General features: G+C 37.8%; 1 protein-coding gene across 8 annotated transcripts in view; it reads left to right on the forward strand.

The window, feature by feature from the left end:
• RP1 (RP1 axonemal microtubule associated) overlaps positions 1-18,597 on the forward strand; it is a 312,050-nt gene that overhangs the window by 177,485 nt on the left and 115,968 nt on the right. For all 8 annotated transcript variants that reach the window (XM_047422069.1, XM_047422070.1, XM_047422071.1 and 5 more), the window contains 2 exons: positions 2,274-2,360; positions 18,134-18,266. In XM_047422069.1, the coding sequence (XP_047278025.1) occupies positions 2,274-2,360; positions 18,134-18,266 (220 nt within the window). The remainder of the gene's footprint in view (positions 1-2,273; positions 2,361-18,133; positions 18,267-18,597) is intronic.

Raw genomic sequence — 18,597 nt, forward strand, 5'->3', positions numbered from 1 at the left:
CCTCAGTGGTGGAGATTGGGTCTACACATGGAAGCCCCCAGGAGTGTAGAGTCTTGTGGACTCCAGGCCAGCAGGATGGGCATTGCCTGGGATCTTGTTAAACACACAGAATTTGGGTTCCCATCCCAGACCTACTGCATCAGAATCTGCATTTTAACCAGATCCCCAGGTAATCTGTGTGTGCACTAAAGTTTGAGAAGCACTGGCCTAGGGGTTAATGGGCACTCATAAGACTGGGGTCTTATGATAGTTTGAGAATCCTAAATTAGAATGAATTGACACATTTATACACTCTCTTCTCTGTGGGTATTGATTCCCTTGTTCCTTTTCATTGGCATCATTTGCCACTTATAAGTTTGTCTTTCATTCTCTTTTCCTTCTTTCCAGTCCTGAAGTGAGCATATAGCCATTTTTGAGGACAATGTGGGATATTTTATTAAACTTGGGTTCAAATTTTACTTTTGGAACTTTCTGTGTATCCAGCTGTGTATCCTTAGACAAATGACTTAACCTGTTTGAATTTCTTCATCTTTTAAAGTAGACACTTAAAAGAGCCTTACCCTTCACAGGGTGACTGTGTGGATTGGAAGGGACAAGCATGTCAAGTCTTTCCCCCCTGGCTGGCACAGACCTGAGTGGCAGTTAGTTCTGCTCTTCTGCCTTAACAGACAGATAGGTATCAAGTCACATATGCTTGGTAACCAGACTGTTCAGATATCCCTTTATTGTTTTCACTTAAATTGTGGAGAAAGGAAGTTTACACTTAAGTGCTAATAGATTCTTGGGACAATGAAAGGATATTTAAAGTGTGGTTTACCTTTTAGAGACAAACTAGCCTCAAACTGGAGGATAACTTCCTGCTTCCTCTGGGAGGAAGAGCTAGCCTCTGAGTTCTGCCACTGAAACCAGCTCTGGGAATAAGGAAGTGGGGGGAAATTGGCTGTTGGGGATTAACATCCCTATTTTCCTTCTTCCCAGTTGAGAACAGCATAATTTCTCTTGACCTGGCATTGAAACAGGCCCAGGTCTGTTCTAGCTGCTGCAGTCTGTAGGGGAAAGTGGTGGTGGGCACTTAAAAAAAAGAATTCTAAGCATGGGAACTGGGTATGAAAAAGGAGTTCTGATAGTTTCTGGGTGATTTGACTGTCCCAGCTCTTTCAGGGTCTAGTCCATAGGTAGGCAATGTCTAGTCAGACATAATATGCAAGTGCCTGCCTCTTTATATCTCTAGTCTGCAGAGGTAGATTGGTGCCTGTAGTAGAAATAATAACAATGGCTATTATTGAAGCCATTAAGCAATAAGGTGGTATATTACATTTAAAAAAAATCCTCACAGTTCAGTGTCCTGGACATATTTTATTATACTAAAAATATCTGCTTATAAGTCTGTCTCCCTTGCTAGTCTGTATATTTCTCCAAGTTAGAGATTGTGCCGTCATTTTCATCTTCGCATACCTGTGGACTTGCACATTGTTTATTGTTTTAATATACATTTATTTAGTTGAACTGAAAATTTTATGCAGAAAGCATTATGTGACCATTCAACAGATAAAGAAATTGAAGATAAGAGAAGTAAAAAAAACATACTTTACTCAGTTTACAAAAACATATTTTACTCCGTTTGCAACAGCTAGGCTTCCAGTTGAGCTAAAAGTGATTCCCAAAGCCAGTTCTCCACAATGCTACCTGGATTAACAAATACTCTTGGGCCACATCAAAAACTAAATCAGCACCCATATTCTGTGGGCAGGTTTGCTTCTCTTCCTTGAACGTAGAACATCTATATCTTAACCTAGGTATCATCAAAGACAACAGGATTTTCAGAGTACAAGGAAGTTCTAGACTCACACTTTTCTTAAGCTTGTAGAAATCACCATATTTAGCTTTTCTTTGGCGAAAATTGTTTTTTTTTTTAATTTCTTAAAATACAAGCCCATCTTTCTGTCATTGGAACTCAGAAAGTGTTGGCTTCCAGTGAGAAATGTGTGGTAGTCAGAGAACTGAGCATATGTGTGTTCTTCATCCTGTTCTCTCATTTGACTCCTTCTGCATATTTTTAGTCAAGTCTCATGATATTTCTGTCTCATACTCTGTGTCTGTGAGGTTCACTGATTGTTTCTTGAGGGCATTTCATTTCTAGACTCTGAAAGAGTTCCTGAGAGCTTTTTAACTATTAGGAACAAAAAATGCAGTTAGTGTAAAAAGAAAGAATTTTTTAATGTGCTTAATTTAAAAAATTCTGATAATTTTTTTCTCCTTTGCATTTCATTCAGGTTGAAATAAGAAACACTGGAAACATATATAAGATAAGGATAGGACATGATGGAACCAGTGAGCAACCCGAGTGGAACTTGCAGAGGGTAATCATGTCACTTATTTTTTTCTTCATAGTTATTCTCTGATGAAAAGAAGCAAGCTGGCTATGTAAAGCAGTGAAAACGGTATTTTCCTAATTACAGATGCTCCTTGACTTACAGTGGGGTTATGCCTCTGTAAACTCATGGTAAATAAAAAATATCCTAAGTCAAAAATGAATTTAATGCCACTGACATAGCAGATAGTTCTCTACTTACTATGGTTTGACTTAAGATTTTTCGACTTATGATGGCGTGAAAGCGACATCTATTCAATAAAAGCTGTAACCCATCATGGGTCATACAGAGCTCTCTGACTTATGATGGGTTACTTCCCAATAAACCCATCATAACCTCAAGAAATTGTAAGTTGAACTGTGGTAAGTTGAGGACCATCCGTATTGTAAATAATGTGAACAAAATTTTTGTGGACATAACACTCTAAACAAATATGGTTCATTCTTGCGAAAGGTTTTTTTTAATAGCATATTTATGGTTATATTTGCAAAGATAATCTGTTCATAGAAATCTGAAGAATACGGTGAAGTGTAAGAACAAAATGAATTGTTATTCATTGATCATTAGATGACCACTCGGTGGTGCATTTTTTTTTCATATCTTTTTTCTATGAATCTCTTTCATGGTTCCTTGCAGACTCGTGTGCTTTCTGTCTCTCGGTATAGATATAGATACATACACACACACATAGCACATATATATGTGTAAATATCAATGTAAAATATAGCCATGTGCCACATAGGATGTTTTGATTAGCAATGGACTGCATATACAATGGTGGTCCCATAAGATTATAATGGAGCTGAAAAATTCTTACTGCCTAGTGATGTCACAGCTGTTGTAATGTCCTATTGTAATGAATTACTCATGTATTTGTGGTGATGCAGGTGTAAACAAACCTACTGTGCTGCCAGTTGTGTAGAAGAATAGCATATTCAATTATGTACAGTACGTAATACTTGCTAATGTAAGCAACTGTTACTGGGATGTGTGTTTTATATATATGTAATTTAATATATATAAAAATATATTTTATATATATACATATAATGCCATATACTTTTAATCACTTAGAGTGTACTCATTCTACTTATTAACTTATTATACTTATATTAACTCATTCTACTTATTAACAAAAAGTTAACTGTAAAACAGCCTCAGGCAGCCTTTCAAGAAGTGTTCCAGAAGAAAGCATTGTTATCATAGGAGATGACAGCTTCATGCATGTTGTTCCCCTGAATATCTTCCAATGGGTCAAGATGTGGAGGTGTAAGGCAGTGATATGGGTGAACCTGACATTGTGCAGGCCTAGGCGAATGTGTATGTTCATGTCTTTATTTTTAACAAGAAAGCTTAAAAAGTAAAAAAAAAAAAAAAAAAAAAAAAAAAATTAAGTAGAGAGCCAGGCGCAGTGGCTCACACCTATAATCCTAGCACTTTGGGAGGCCAAGGTGGGTGGATCATGAGGTCAGGAGTTCAAGACCAGCCTGACCAACATAGTGAAATCTCATCTCTACTAAAAATACAAGAATTAGCTGGGCGTGGTGATATGCACCTGTAATCCCAGCTACTCAGGAGGCTGAGGCAGGAGAATTGCTTGAACCTGGGAGGTGGAGGTTACAGTGAGCCAAGATCACACCACTGCGTTCCAGCCTGGGCGACAAAGCGAGACTCTGTCTTAAAAAAAATAATAATAAAATAAGTAGAAAAAAAGCTTATGGGCCGGGTGCGGTGGATCATGCCTGTCATCTCAGCACTTTGGGAGGCCGAAGTGGAATGGATCACCTGAGGTCAGGAGTTGGAGACCAGCCTGGCTAACATGGTGAAACCCCATCTCTACTAAAATTAGCCAGGCGTGGTGGCAGGCGCCTGTAGTCCCAGCTAGTCGGGAGGCTGAGGCAGGAGAATCGCTTGAACCCCAGAGGCAGAGGTTGCAGTGAGCTGAGATTGCACCATTGCACTCCAGTCTGGGGGACAAGAGTGAGACTTTGTCTCAAAAAAAAAAAAAGCTTATGGAATAAGAATATAAAGAAAGAAAATATTTTTGTATGACTGTACAGTGTGTTTGTGTTTTAAGCTAAGTGTTATTACAAAAGAGTCAAAAAGTTTTTAAAAAATTAAATGTTTAATTTATTATGGAAAAAAGAAAAATATTTTTTATGAATTTAGTGTAGCCTAAGTATACATTGTTAATGAAGCCTACAGTAGTGTACAATAATGTCCTAGGCCTTCACATTCACTCACCACTTACTCACTGACTCACCCAGAGCAACTTCCATCCTGCAAACTCCATTCATGGCAAATGCCCTATACAAGTGTACCATTTTTAATCTTTCATGCTCTATTTTTAGTTTACCTTTTCTCTGTTTAATATGTTTAGATTTGTAAATACTTACCATTGTGTTACAATTTCCTGTAGTACAGTAACATGCTACACAGGTGTGTAGCCTGTGATCAATAAGCTATACCATATAGCCTAGGTATGTAGTAGGCTATTCCATCTAGGTTTGTGTAAGTGCACTCTATGATGTTTACACAATAATGAAATTGCCTAACAATGCATTTCTTGGAAAGTATCCCCATTGTTAAACAACACATGAATATATATAAAAACATATGTATAAATAAATACCTTAAATATGTACATATAAATACAAATGTGTGTGTATATATATATATATATATATATATATATATATATATATATATGTTTATATGTGCTTTGCCCTTTTAGTGAAATTGAATCATGCTATGTATGCACTTTGAGATCCTGGTTTTTTTATTTTTTCATTTTTATTTAATCATGGCAGTAATAACAATAATAATAATAATGAGTATTTGTTGAGTGCTTAACATATGCCACCTACCTTACAAATACCACTGTATTTCTGCCTAATAGCAGCTCTTTGATTTAGGTACCATTAATATCCTATTTTACATATGAGAAAACTGAGGCTCGATCAAGTTAAGTAATTTGCCTGAGGTTCCTCAGTAAATGGTCTTATTGTATGTTGGACTCCAGAGACTGAGATCTTAAGCACTATCATTGGGCCTTAAGTTTATTTTCAAAAATAGATGGTAATTAAACACTTAAAAGCCTTGAGATTTCTGTATGGAAGCACTAGATTATAGTGGAGTCAGATGAAATGGTTTGAATCATAGAACATCTTTGCTTTCTGGCTTTAAATACTATATCTGTCACTGGTTCCTTTACAGTACAAGATATGTTATTCCAAAATGCTTCAGGTTTAAAATTTGGAATACCACTGATAGAGTCTAGCAAAATGTTTCTTTCTTTTTAAGTGTTTCTTAATTTTATCTGTGATTTTTATTATTGTATCTTTGGTTGTATAATAAAAGTAATTGAGAAAAATGTTAATTTTGCTGAGGTGTTTATTGTAGTATTTCTTAGGACATGCCTATATAATGAAATGTTTTCTAATAGTTCAGGAACAGGTAAATATGTTCCAGTCAGTAAGTCAAGAAATATCTACTTAGCACCTAATACATGCCCTGCATTATGCTAGATGATATGGAGGATTTGAGGAAACCATTTGGTGACTTTAAAGTTTTCTATTTAGAAGCATTGAAAGAATTCTAAGATGAGAAAAGCAATGACCTTTTAAGAAGATGCAAAAACCATGGAACCTGCAAAGTGTAGTAAAATCAGAAGCTCTGTGCCTGTGAATTACTGGGAAAGGTGAGTCAGAACTAAAATTTTAGAAGAAACTTACCCATGAGTTAAGTGGGCCTGAAGTCAATAGCATGGATGTGCTTTCTCTGGGGCCTGTGAGTGAGAAAAGTGGTTGAGGGGTATAGCAACATCACTACGTAGTGATTCTTCAACTGGAGGAAAAAACATCCCCAGCAGAAGCTGTCCAAGGAAGGAGCACTCAGTCCTGGGAACCAAGGGAGGCATCATCCATTCCTCTGGTCAGTGGTAAAGGCTTCTGTGAAGAGTAAAGTGGGTAGAACACTAATTAATTGATTGAATTGAGCAGCTAGAAACTGTCATTACCAAAGCAATGTAAGAGAAGGGACTTTTCCTACACCTTACTTTACTTTTTATTGTGAAGTGATTTCAAATTTATTTTAAAAATTGCAAGAATGGAAGAAAGAACTCAAATTTCACTCAGATTCCCAGTTGTTAAGGTTGCACTCCATCTACTTTACCATTCCCTGTTAAAATATATATATATGTTTGTGTGTTTATATGTATGTCTTAATCGTTTGACAAATATTTACTGACATGAAGTCCATTGATTCTTTGGCTATGTAAATATCGTATTCACCATAAAATTTTTACCCACTAATTTTAGGATCCATTGATGATTTTTGCCTTAGTCAGTTATTACTGTGATGGTGGCCAAATGGTGATTTTTATATTCTATTGTTATTTCTCTATTTATTAATTGGCATTCTACTACAAGGTAGAACTTTTTCCTTCTCTCCATTTCAAAATTTCATTTATTTATTCATACCAGCGTGTACTTGCAGATTCTTACTTTATTTGATGGGTTAATCTTTATTAACATAATTTACTTTGATGCTGAAATCATCCTTCATTTTTTCCTGTAAGCCCCTATATTTTTTTCACATGTCACTGTCCGTTCTACGAGGACTTCTTTACTTTCTGATTTGAAAAGATGTTTCAGGCTTATCTAGTACTTTCTTTTCCCTAGCCCTGGAATTACCTATTTCTCAAGGAGCCCTAGTTTAATTTAGTGGAGAATGGTTTTTAGACACCAGTATTTACGTGAGCAATTCAAAGAAGTTACTTTCCCCACTAATGCCCATTCACCTCAGCCCTGAGGCCGCTTCCCATGATGTAAAAAGCCAGCCATGCTTCTGCTTTCCCAAGATGCTCCCCAATAAATGTTTCCAGTGTGGAAAACACTGAGTTTCCCACATGAGTTTTGGAAACACTGAGTTTTTCATTCCTCTCTTGGAAAGTCACAATGCAAATAAATATAGTAAAGGTTCTGGGATGCCCTGTGGTAGGGAAATCTGTTTAACAGCATTTCCAAAACTAAATTCACCATGGGGTCATATTTTTCAGGTAAAATCTATTAACATTCTATGAAAGGAATATTGTGCATTACTGTAGGGGTTTGAGGCATTTGGGGTTTGATTTAGGAAAAAGATATGACCATGGTGCAGAGGCAGTAGCACACATATTATATTAGGTGATGTTGTGACAAGATTGCATGTGGAGGAAGTTCCCTCCAGCAGTAATCTGTCCAGAAGCCACAGCGCAGGCCTATACTCAAAAGGGGAAGAGGGCAAGGGAGCTCCCTAGGGAGCCTAGGTGATGCCTCTGAGTGCACAGTGGGGACATGAGTCAGAGAGCCCCGAAGGGAAGGTTATGAAATATTTCATCCTAAATATGTAAAATAATTTGTTCCCCAATGAAAGGCAAAGTGTCTATTTGCAAAGCTGAAATAGTTTCCTTGTGTTCGAAGGATGATTACATAGACTGGAATTTGTCAGACACAAGCCGTTTGACCTTGTTTAGGTAGAGTCACTTGATAAATACATAGACCTACAAATATTTTATTACCATCTCTTGCAGCCCTATTCAAGCATATAGAAAAAATTCTGTATAGGTGACTACCATCTTCTGTCTGATAATTAAACTCCAGTCATTATTTCTTCCCTCAGTATTTCACAAATACACTGGAAGTTTATTGCTATACGGTACAAAATTTTATTCCTCCACGTGCATTTGCTCTGTGGCAAAATTCAGTAATCTTTATGTCTTTTATATAGTCTTCTTAATCAGTATTTCCCTTTTCTTATATTGCATGGACCATGCTAGTCAAATTAACTTTATATTTTAGGACAGGTTAGGGCCAAGGCAATTTTTAAATACATAGATTTCAGTGTGTCAGGGTGGGAGAGAGCACATCAAGTCTCTCCTTGGACTTTGGTACTAAAATAAACAATAGCACAGATTTGTACTCATATTCAGAAAACAATTGTACTCGTATTCAAAGTGTTTTATCAAGTATTACTAGAAGACTTAATAAGAGTTGGAAGAGTTCTGTTGGTCGTTTGAGCATGCCAACATGACTAAGATGCAGTTCTTGTCTTCAAAGAACACAATCTACCATTAACCTGACTATAAACCAGATTGTGCTTAGTTATCCATTAAGTTGTCATTGTAATTGTCCCAGTGAAAATGGCACATGCTGTCTCTACATCTGTCTTCCAAAAGATTTATGGAGAGAATTAAATTGATTTCTCCCTTTTCTCAGGTTCTGAGAGGAAAGGTTGGGTAACCTGACCTAGATGTTATATTCTCATTACTGAATTCTAACATGTTAATTCAGACATTGTAAGTACCACCATATGTCTGTTCCAGTCAACTATTTTTAGGATATGTATTTAACGACTTGGTTGAAATTTTTAAAAGTAATCCAGGAATTTTAAGTTTCTAAGAAACAAAAATGAGTTTTTATGGTAATGTTCTCTTGTGAAACAACTAATATTTGCTGTTGTAAATCAGCAGGGGGAGCTCAGCAAATGAATTTTAGTTTTTACTGAAGGCATTCCTAAAATTGTTCCTATTCATTTAAGAAACTAAAACAAAATGCTGAATATTTTATGTGATAAAGGCACTGCTGTTTCTTTTTCCTTTTTTTTTTTTTCCAAGCACTGTGTTTGTTTGTTTTCAAGGAAAATGAATGCATGTTTCAGTGAAAAAATGGTTTTGGAAATTAACTCTTTTTCTATTTCTCATCTACCCCAACATAAAGTTTGGCTTTGAAGCTTAATATCAGTGCACTTTTTCTCATCCATATCGACTCTTTCATAGTACTCACATTTGGCAGTTCTGCATCAGAGCTAAAGCAAAAGTCAAGGCTTTGGGTCTTTTTAGTATTGATAGAAAAATACTAGACGATGCTTCAGTCTGAAAGCCAAAAGAAAATACTATTTCCAAAAAAGAAAATGATTGTTTTCACAATGACCAAAGGCTGCCTTTTGTGGACTTGGAAAATCTGAAAGTCTGTCATTATTAGGACATATGTCATTATTAGGATCATTCTCCCCATTAATGATCAGCCATTTATAGCCAATAGCTATTGTTCATCTTGTGATAAACAATGCAAGCACTTATGGAATGCTTTTTTTTGGGGGAAGCCGTTGTTTCTAAACAAGTGTTTGTTGAAATCATTCCTAGTGTCCCAGATTAAAATGGGTGAAAACCTAGTTTTTGACATAGCATTTTGAGCAGGGAACACCTGCCCATTTCATGATACTCTGGTACTTTGGGGCTTTTGATCTAGTGGTGGGTCATGTGATGTCATTCAGAGTCTTAAACTTTTATTCCTTGATCATACTTTAGAGGCCTTTGTGAAGGTCTGACTTGCTATTTCAGCCATATTAATGCACACTAACCAACTGTGCTGTCTAGCGTCCAAAACACTGTTGTAGAATATTAATCCAGGTCATCATACTGATTTCAGGCAATGGGTAGCTTCTACCCAAAACAAGATGGCTATAACTGAACATAGACAGATAGTAATTAACTTTGAATATTAAAAAAAGAAAGATAAGCATACATGTTAGCAAATGCTGTTAAATAAAACTAATAATTGTTTTTAAATCTTAGGTTTTCTTTTTTTTATTCTCTGGAATTGACTTTGGCTCTTTCAAATTGAGGTAATAAACTTTAGAGTTGAAGTCAAAAGACTTGAAAGATGTTTAATTTCTAAAAAGTTAAAAAATCACTTTTTCTCTAGGTTTTTCTTACTATAAAATAGGGCTCAACGGTACTTGGTATCTCACAAGTTGTGAATATCAAGTGAAAAAAATAAATGAAACATAATCAGACCTTTTTGATTCCCTCATCCAACCTGCTTCTCCTTTAGTCTTGTTCGTCTGAGAAGATGGTGTCAGTGTCTACCTAGTTATATAAGCCAGAACCCTATGAATTTTCCTAGATTGTTTTATTTCCCTTCCCTCCAAAATCCAATCCCTCAGGAATCTCCTGCTGACTCTATTGCTGAAACATACCTCAATTTTGTCTATTTTTCCTCCATCTTATTACCATCACTTCACTCCAAGTTGCATTTTTTTCTCTTCTCTCTGCTGTAAAGATCTCCTATGATAGGCTTCCAGCTTCTTTTTCACCCCCCTCAGTATCCAGATTTCAAAGAGAAGCCAGAGTGATCTCTTATTAACATCAGTCAGATCATGTCCCCTCATGTAATCTGTCCCCTGCCCACCTCTTTCTCGTCCCCTTCTCATGCTGTGGAAGCCACACTGGTCTTCTCCTGCTTTAGAGGTCCTTTGCTATACAATCTAAAGGGAGCCCACATTTGCTCTTGATCACATCAGCATGGTTTATTTTCTTTATAACACATCCCTTATCTGATATTTTATATTTGTTCATAGTCCGACTTCCACTAGAAAGTGAGTGACTTGAGAACAGGAACTTTGTATTATTCAGTGTTATAATCCCAACTCCTACAGTATTGCCTGTCATGTAGTAGATGTTAAACATTTGTGGAATGAATGAATAAATAAAACACATTTTGTTTATTTAACAAATATTTATAATATGTGAAGTACGGCTGGGTGCATTGGCTCATGCCTGTAATCCCAGCACTTTGGGAGCCCAAGGCCAGAGGATCTCTTGAGCCCAGGAGTTCAACACCAGCCTGGGCAACATGGGAAGACCCCTGTCTCTACAGAAATGCAAAAATTAGCTGGGTGTGCTGCAGTGAGCTGAGATTGTACCACTGCACTCCAGCCTGGGTGACAGAGGGAGACCCTGTTTCATATATATAGCCTGGAGAGTCTTGGAGGTTTGACCCATTCACACAGAATTAGTAGCGAGATAAGGCCAATGCCCCTTCTCTTGGCCCATGGCCTAATGCTCTCTCCAATGTCTGGGCTGCCTCTGCAGCACATGTTTGCTATACATTCTGGATAAATAGACTCAAATAGAATAGGAATTCTCTTGAAGCTTTTTGATTCTTCTAAGTCTTTGAATTGAAGTGGGTCATAGGTTTTGGTGAATTTGTTATTATTTTAACCTACTGCTGGTTAATATGATATGGTAACCTACTTGATATGAGCCCCAGGCAATCTTGAGATTAGCAAAATTAGGTAAGAAATGCCTTATTTTTTTGAAGTTTTAAAGTATCTCATAAATATTTCTAGTTCCTTTTCATTTCCAGTTACTTCTTCACTTCAGGGTTCTAGAAAGAACCACATAAAGGAAATAGCAAGTTCTGAAATGCGGTAAGAAAAATAGTTTGTTTTTGAAGATTTTCTAGTTCAGTGAACAGCAGGAAGCACCAGCTTCTTTTCACAAAATCTCCAGGCAAATGTTTAATCTCAAAAGACTCCAGTAGTTTATAGAAACATTCTCAAAGTTGTGCCAGCTTATTTGAACCAAAGATAAATTCATGTATTTGATAGTCCCTCAGTCAGTTGTAAATACCATAGTTGGTCCCCCTTGTACAGTCCTTGATAACAAATAGGGTATTATCACAAGGCACAGGATGAGAAATAAGGATATTTAGAGTCAAGCTTTGACTTTGTGTCTGATTTGCAAGAACACTTAAAATGTTCCGTATGAACACATTTAAACCTTATTATATTTTCATATTTCTGGCTATACAAAGAAAATACTAATGACTGACATGAGTGCCCCATCCACCATCCCCAGTATCAGATCTTATAGAGTACTATAAATACGTTGTGTCCAACAAACGTGTTGGTGACTATTTGCCTTTATTTTTTCAGAAAAAGCTTTGTGTATATGGAATCTGTAATGAGAGTAGAAGTATTTTTTTTTGTTTTATAGAACAAAGGTTTATGATATTTCAGGGTAGGATTTCTAAAAGGATTTTTTTCTAAACCTTTCTCATCCTAATATATTCTTTGTGTTCTATCCAGTGTTTATCTTACATCCAGTGTTCAGTAGACAAATGGCCACATGGGTAGCTCTCAGAAAGTATTTGTTGACTCTGGTTCTATATCATTTCTCCTCCAAGAAAAGATAAGATTATTTTATTTATTTTGTTTAGGATTAAATACAATTTGTGAAAAGTATTTTATAAAAAAGGATCGAGACCATCCTGGCTAACATGGTGAAACCCTGTCTCTACTAAAAAATACAAAAAATTAGCCAGGCGTGGTGATGGGCACCTGTAGTCCCAGCTACTTGGGAGGCTGAGGCAGGAGAATGGTGTGAACATGGGAGGCGGAGTTTGCAGTGAGTCGAGATCACGCCACTGCACTCCAGCCTGGGCAACAGAGCAAGACTCCATCTCAAAAAAAAAACAAAACAAAAAACAAGTAGAATACAAATATAGATGGTGGCAATTGTTGTTGGTTATTAATTGCATTTAATCAGGATGTGGAGTGAGGCTATGGCAGAGGGCAGTTGGCTCACTCTGCCCTCACAACCCCAAGTCTTCTGGCCATAGTGATGACCCTCCTTCTGACCCACTGGACCTGATCCTTGCTCCATTGATATCTAGGTTGACATTAAAGGCAGGCACTAAGGACAGTTAGAGAAGGGGCTCAGGGAGGACATGAAAGAAAAGATAAAGCCTTCAAGAGGAGTTGGGACAGTGCCGGTCCCTATAGTTTAGAGAGGAATGGCCTCCTTTTTCTTAAAATTTCCTGCTTGAGGTACAAAGAAGCAGAATAGGAGCCATTTTAGGGAAAGCAGACAAGGATTACACAGTGATCTAGGGACCCAGGAGACTAGAAGTGCTGGAGAGCTTTCTTGGGAAGATGGGATGAGTGGGAGACCTGGCTTAGAGGACAGCTTTGGGATTCCAAAGCTTTGGAGGTTTCTTTTTTTTTTTTTGAAGTTAGAGGTTTTGCCTTTTGTTTATGAACTCCTTGACTGATGGGCTAGAGAATTCATGGAGGGGCCCAGGAGAGAGGAAGCAGGAGAAGCTACTTCAGATTGGCTAAGGGTAGGAGAGCCAAAGGAGACTGTTAGTTGTCTTCCCAGATGGTCGTGGTCAGCTCTCCCAAGTACAGTAGGAGTCAGGGAATTGGAATAGAATTTCTCATTCTGGTAATAGAAAACTGAACGTTTGGCTGAAGTTTTCCTTGGGCATTCTCTAGGAGGATGTTAAAGAGTGAGGAACCACAATCCCAAATAATTTTTAAGAATTCTGATCTCCAATCTCTGAGATTAATTTTGATACTATTATTACTAAAAACAATAAACATGTGTTGAGCACTCAGGGTATACCTGATCACTTTTAATGTTTATACCACAGAAAGGCAGATATTATCATAATCCTAATTGAGAACATTGAGGTTTTGAGAACTAGGCAATTCCCATATTACATAGCTAGCATGTGGATCTGGAAAGAAGTGATCTTACTTCTAGGCACAAAAACCGCCCTCTTACTGTTAACTTGGAAAATTTAGATGTTCTGAAATCAAGCTCTTTTACAATATTCCTAAGTATCACTGAGAGGAGAAGCCAGCTGGACTTCCTAGGTCAAGTGGGGACTTGGAGAACTTTTCTGTCTTACAAGAGGATTGTAAAATGCCCTAATCAGCACTCTGTAGCTAGGATTGTAAAACGCACCAATCAGTGCTCTGTAGCTAGCAAGGGGATTGTAAAATGCACCAATTAGTGCTCTGTAGCTAGCAAGGGGATTGTAAAATGCACCAATTAGTGCTCTATAAAAACGCACCAATCAGTGCTCTGTACCTAACAAGAGGATTGTAAAATGCACCAATCAGTGCCCTGCACAACTCACCAATCAGTAAAACGCACCAATCAGTGGTCTGTAAAACGCACCAATCAGCAGGACTCTGAAAGCCAATTGCAGGGAGGATTGAAAAAGGGCATTCTGATAGGACAGAAATGGAGCATGGGAGGGGAAAAATAAGGGAATAAAAGCTGGCCACGCCAGCCAGCGGTGGCAACCTGCTCGGGTACCCTTCCACTCTGTGGGTGCTTTGTTCTTTAGCTCTTCACAATAAATCTTGCTGCTGCTCACTCTTTGGGTCCGTGCCATCTTCAAGAGCTGTAACACTCACTGTGAAGGTCTGCGGCTCCATTCTTGAAGTCAGTGAGACCACTAACCCACCGGAAGGAACCAACTCCGGACACATCGCCACCCATTCTTGAGAAAGTTCTGCTTTGGAAAATAACTTCCTATGGCTAATCATTTATAGTTTACAAACTGTTTTCCAAAAGGTGTTTTGATCTCATTTTATTACATAAGGCACTTATCAACTTGGTGAGATATGATGGCAGTTTTGCAAATGAGGGCCTGAAGATGAGAGGTCCTCTTGTGGAACTTTTATAAAAATGCTTGGTGAGCTGCCATGTTTGTGATGGTTTGTTTTTGAACTGTGTGGTGGGAGGAAGTGCTTCTGACAATTTGTACTTTGCAAACATTTAATCTTTGATTTAACTCACCATTACAAGACTGCTGTTGCTCACTGATCCACCAAAAAATGAGGTAAAATAAACTTTCTTACTTGTTTTCATTAATCTATCTTAATGTATGCATAGCTCACATTTATTTCAGTGGTTAATGGTCAAGGCCATACATCTGGTAAATAGCAGTGCAAAGACATAAACCAAGGTCTTTTAATTCAAATCCATGTTTGTTTCACTTGCCACATGCCTTTTACTGAGTCCTGCCATTAGCTATCATGTAACGGGGCTTAAACATTGTGGTCGTCCTGGAATTTTGCCCTTCTTACTAATTTAACGGTTGAAAAAATATTTTGTGAAAATAAAAACAAACATTGCTGGAGATTACCTAGATTCTTTGTTTTTCTGTTTCGAGCCATCATGACTTCGAAGGTAAACGGAACTCACTTAGAGCCCTCACTGTGGAGGCTTTTCAGTGGTGTTCGTGGGGTTGCACTTAAGTCAAATCAGTGAGGCTCTCTTATCAGTGGGCTCTTCTAAGGTTGAAGGGATGGCGGGGCCTCAGAAACCAGAGGCTTCTTGCCAATTTGCATGGAGAGGTTAATGTAGAGGAAGAACCTGTTGAAGTTTTAGGTAGTATGACCTTGTAATCGCTTAACATTGTCTTAGGTTCTTGGAAACTGTGACTTCAAGCAATACTTGGTATAACAAAACTAATTTACCATTGGCTAACTGAAATAAACAAGAGTTAAATTTCTAGAGCATATTTCTGGTCCCAAAAACATCTCCAATCTTCTGAAGTCCAAAACACTTCAAATATTAATCATTGAAATAAATGTGAGCTATACATAAATGTAATAAAGATTAATGAAAAGAAGTAAGAAAGTTTTACCCTATGTTTGGTCAATCAGTGAGTGATAGCAGTCGTAGTTATGGTGAGTTAAACCAAGGAATAAATGTTTGCAAAGGGAAATTGTCAGGACCACCTCCTTCCACCATGCAGTTCGAAAACCGTCACAAACATAGCAACTCGGTGAGTGCTTTCATCCCCTAATTGTTTATTTTTGTACATTTGTATGATTATTATAGACGTTACAAATTTTTATTTGACAATCATTTGTATTCATTCCTTCATTTTTCAACCTGCTTATTCCAGTTCAGAGTTGTGGGTGGGCAGAGCCTGTCCTGGCAGCTCAGGGTGCAAGGCGGGAACTGACCTGGCCAGGACGCCATGCCATCATCCCATTGCAGGGCACGCTCATACCCACACACTTGCATACCCCCCACACTCTCACACTGGGACCATGTAGACACACCAGTTTCTCTAACATGCAGAGCTTCTGGATGTTGGAGGAAAACTGGAGGACCTGGAGAAAACCCATACAGATTTAGGGAGAACGTGCAAATTCCACACAGACACTGGCCTCTGTCTAAATAAAGAATGATATAATCCAAAGAGAACATTTCCAAGTTCAGTAGAATATATTATACTAACCTTTTTAATATTAATGTATGTATACATATATACATTTCACTAATGTTAATATGAAGTATTTGTATAGTTTATATAAAGTTTTACACATTACATATAATCTCATTTAATATCCACAGTAACCATATGAGATAGTCATTATTTCTATTTTAAAGACCACAGAAGTGGTATTCAAAGTGGTTACATGATTTCTCATGGTCAGTTGGAAATGCCAGAGCTAGACTTTGGTCACAGTTTTTCTAGCTGTCCAGTGTTCTTTTCAAGACCTCTTGCCTGGAGCAAGTAAAGATACAGTCGTCACTCATTAATGGTCAGGCGTGCTGAGTTAGTCTGTAACCTGTATTGACAAATACCCATTTCACGTAGTTATTCATTTAATCATTCGTTCAACAAACGACCCAAGGACAGCCTTGTGAAAGCTTGTGGTAGTATTGAGATGGGTAGGACATGGTTCCTTCCCTCAAGTCTGTCAAATATTAGCTGTTAAATCATCAATGGGGAGGCTGCCATGGATCACAAAGTAGGGTTACTGAACCAAACCGAGGGCTCACAAAAAACTCCTTAGAAGAGGTTATGTGTAAGCTATGAAGGATGGGCAGACTCATCACGGTAATGAGTCAGGATGAAAACTGTTCTAAGCAGAGCTACGAGTGTATGTGAAAACTGGTATGAGAGGGAATGTGGCCAGGTTGAGGAACCATGAACAGATCAGTACAACTAGAACATAGCACATGAGGGAGAAGTATCTAGCAAGATTATGACCCAACCATGAACTGCTCATTGTATTGAGGATTTGGGATTTTATACTGTAGGAAGGACTGTTGAAAAAAAAGTTGTGTGCAGTGTGCAAAATGATCAGATTTCTGTTTTAAAATAGTCTCTCTTGAAACAGGCTAAAGGCAGGATTGGAAGAGAGCAGGAACAGCAGACAGTGGGTTATGGCAGCAAGCTCGAAGAATAAGCCATCTGAGAAATGGTGGCACCTGCTCCTAAGGCCAGGAAGCAGAGGAAATTGAGGAGGGACAGGGACTTATTTAGAAGATTAGCTGGAATCTTAAAAGGATGAGGACATTTTTATCTATTGTGATAGGAGGCAAGGCAAACAATTGTGGGCTTATTCCTGGAAGTTCTCTGCTAGTCTGTTGGCATGTGAAGGGGAAGATAAAGGGAAGGGGCCTTTGTGTGGAACAGCCACCAAAGGGGCTGACAAGGGGTCTGTGGAGGATTCACTGGGTTGGGGGGAAGGGCAGCTGCCTGCATGTTGGAAGGTGTAGGCATTTGGTCTGTGGCAACTGGGGGTTTATTTAGAGCCTACAGATGTTATAAATACACTTAAAAGGCATTCACTTTTTTTTTCAAGTTCTGATGTATTCTTGCTTTGGTGACTAATATGAACGCAAGATCTCCTTTCGAGTTCTCTTAGATTGTTTTTTTTTTTAAATCACTACCACAGGTGAAATTGAGAGCTTTGAATCTGCTAGAGTCCATTTCAAATCTTCATGCCTCCATTTTCTTATCTATAAGATTGAAAGAATTTTACAAGTCCGATTGATTAAGGTTAAAAGATAGTTAAAATAAAGCACTCAGCATAATATGTGGCAAATAAAAATTGCCTAATAAACAACTGATGGCACTTCTACTACTGCTACTACTGCTACTGCTACTAGTAAGTTGGTGCAAAAGTAATTGTGGTTTTGTCATTAAAAGTAATAGCAAAATGGCAATTACTTTTGCACCAACCTACGACTACTACTACTAACAACCATCACCGCTATCACCATCATCAGAGTATGCAGTACACTTTTGAAATCCCTGGGATGCATTGTGAATTCCAAGTTCTTTGAGAAATTGGAGATGACACAATTTGGTCATTTTTTCTTCTAATTCCAGGTGACCATGCAACATATGAAAAGCAAGAAGATCCTAGATTTTGCAGCAAACGTATGGCTGTCTCGGATTCAGGCAGATGGGGATGTTGTCTGTGAGCTTCCTGTAGTAAAAGGAGGACAAGCTATTTTTCCATGTGTGTTTTTAATCTTCAGTAGCATCTATTCCATAGACAAATTGTTTGGTAGTTGCTTAAATTTGCTTCTAAGCTATTTAGTTACAGAATATTTTTCCTGCTTCTAAGAGAGTTGTTTTACTCTTGAGAAGTGACTTTTTTAATGTCACAGCATGAGTTGCTGGTGGATCTTAGATTAAATGTAATCTCAAAATTGTTCTTGTGGCCCAGCTACAGTCACAAAGGCTGAGGCTGTGAGAGACAAGAAATGCCATGGCTGCAACTCACCTTAGCTTTGCCTGGGGCCAGCTTACCTCCTCGCTTGATTTGTTTCCTCATCAAACCTTACATC

This window comes from Homo sapiens, chromosome 8 (assembly GCF_000001405.40).
Source record: "Homo sapiens chromosome 8, GRCh38.p14 Primary Assembly".
NCBI lineage: Eukaryota > Metazoa > Chordata > Mammalia > Primates > Hominidae > Homo > Homo sapiens.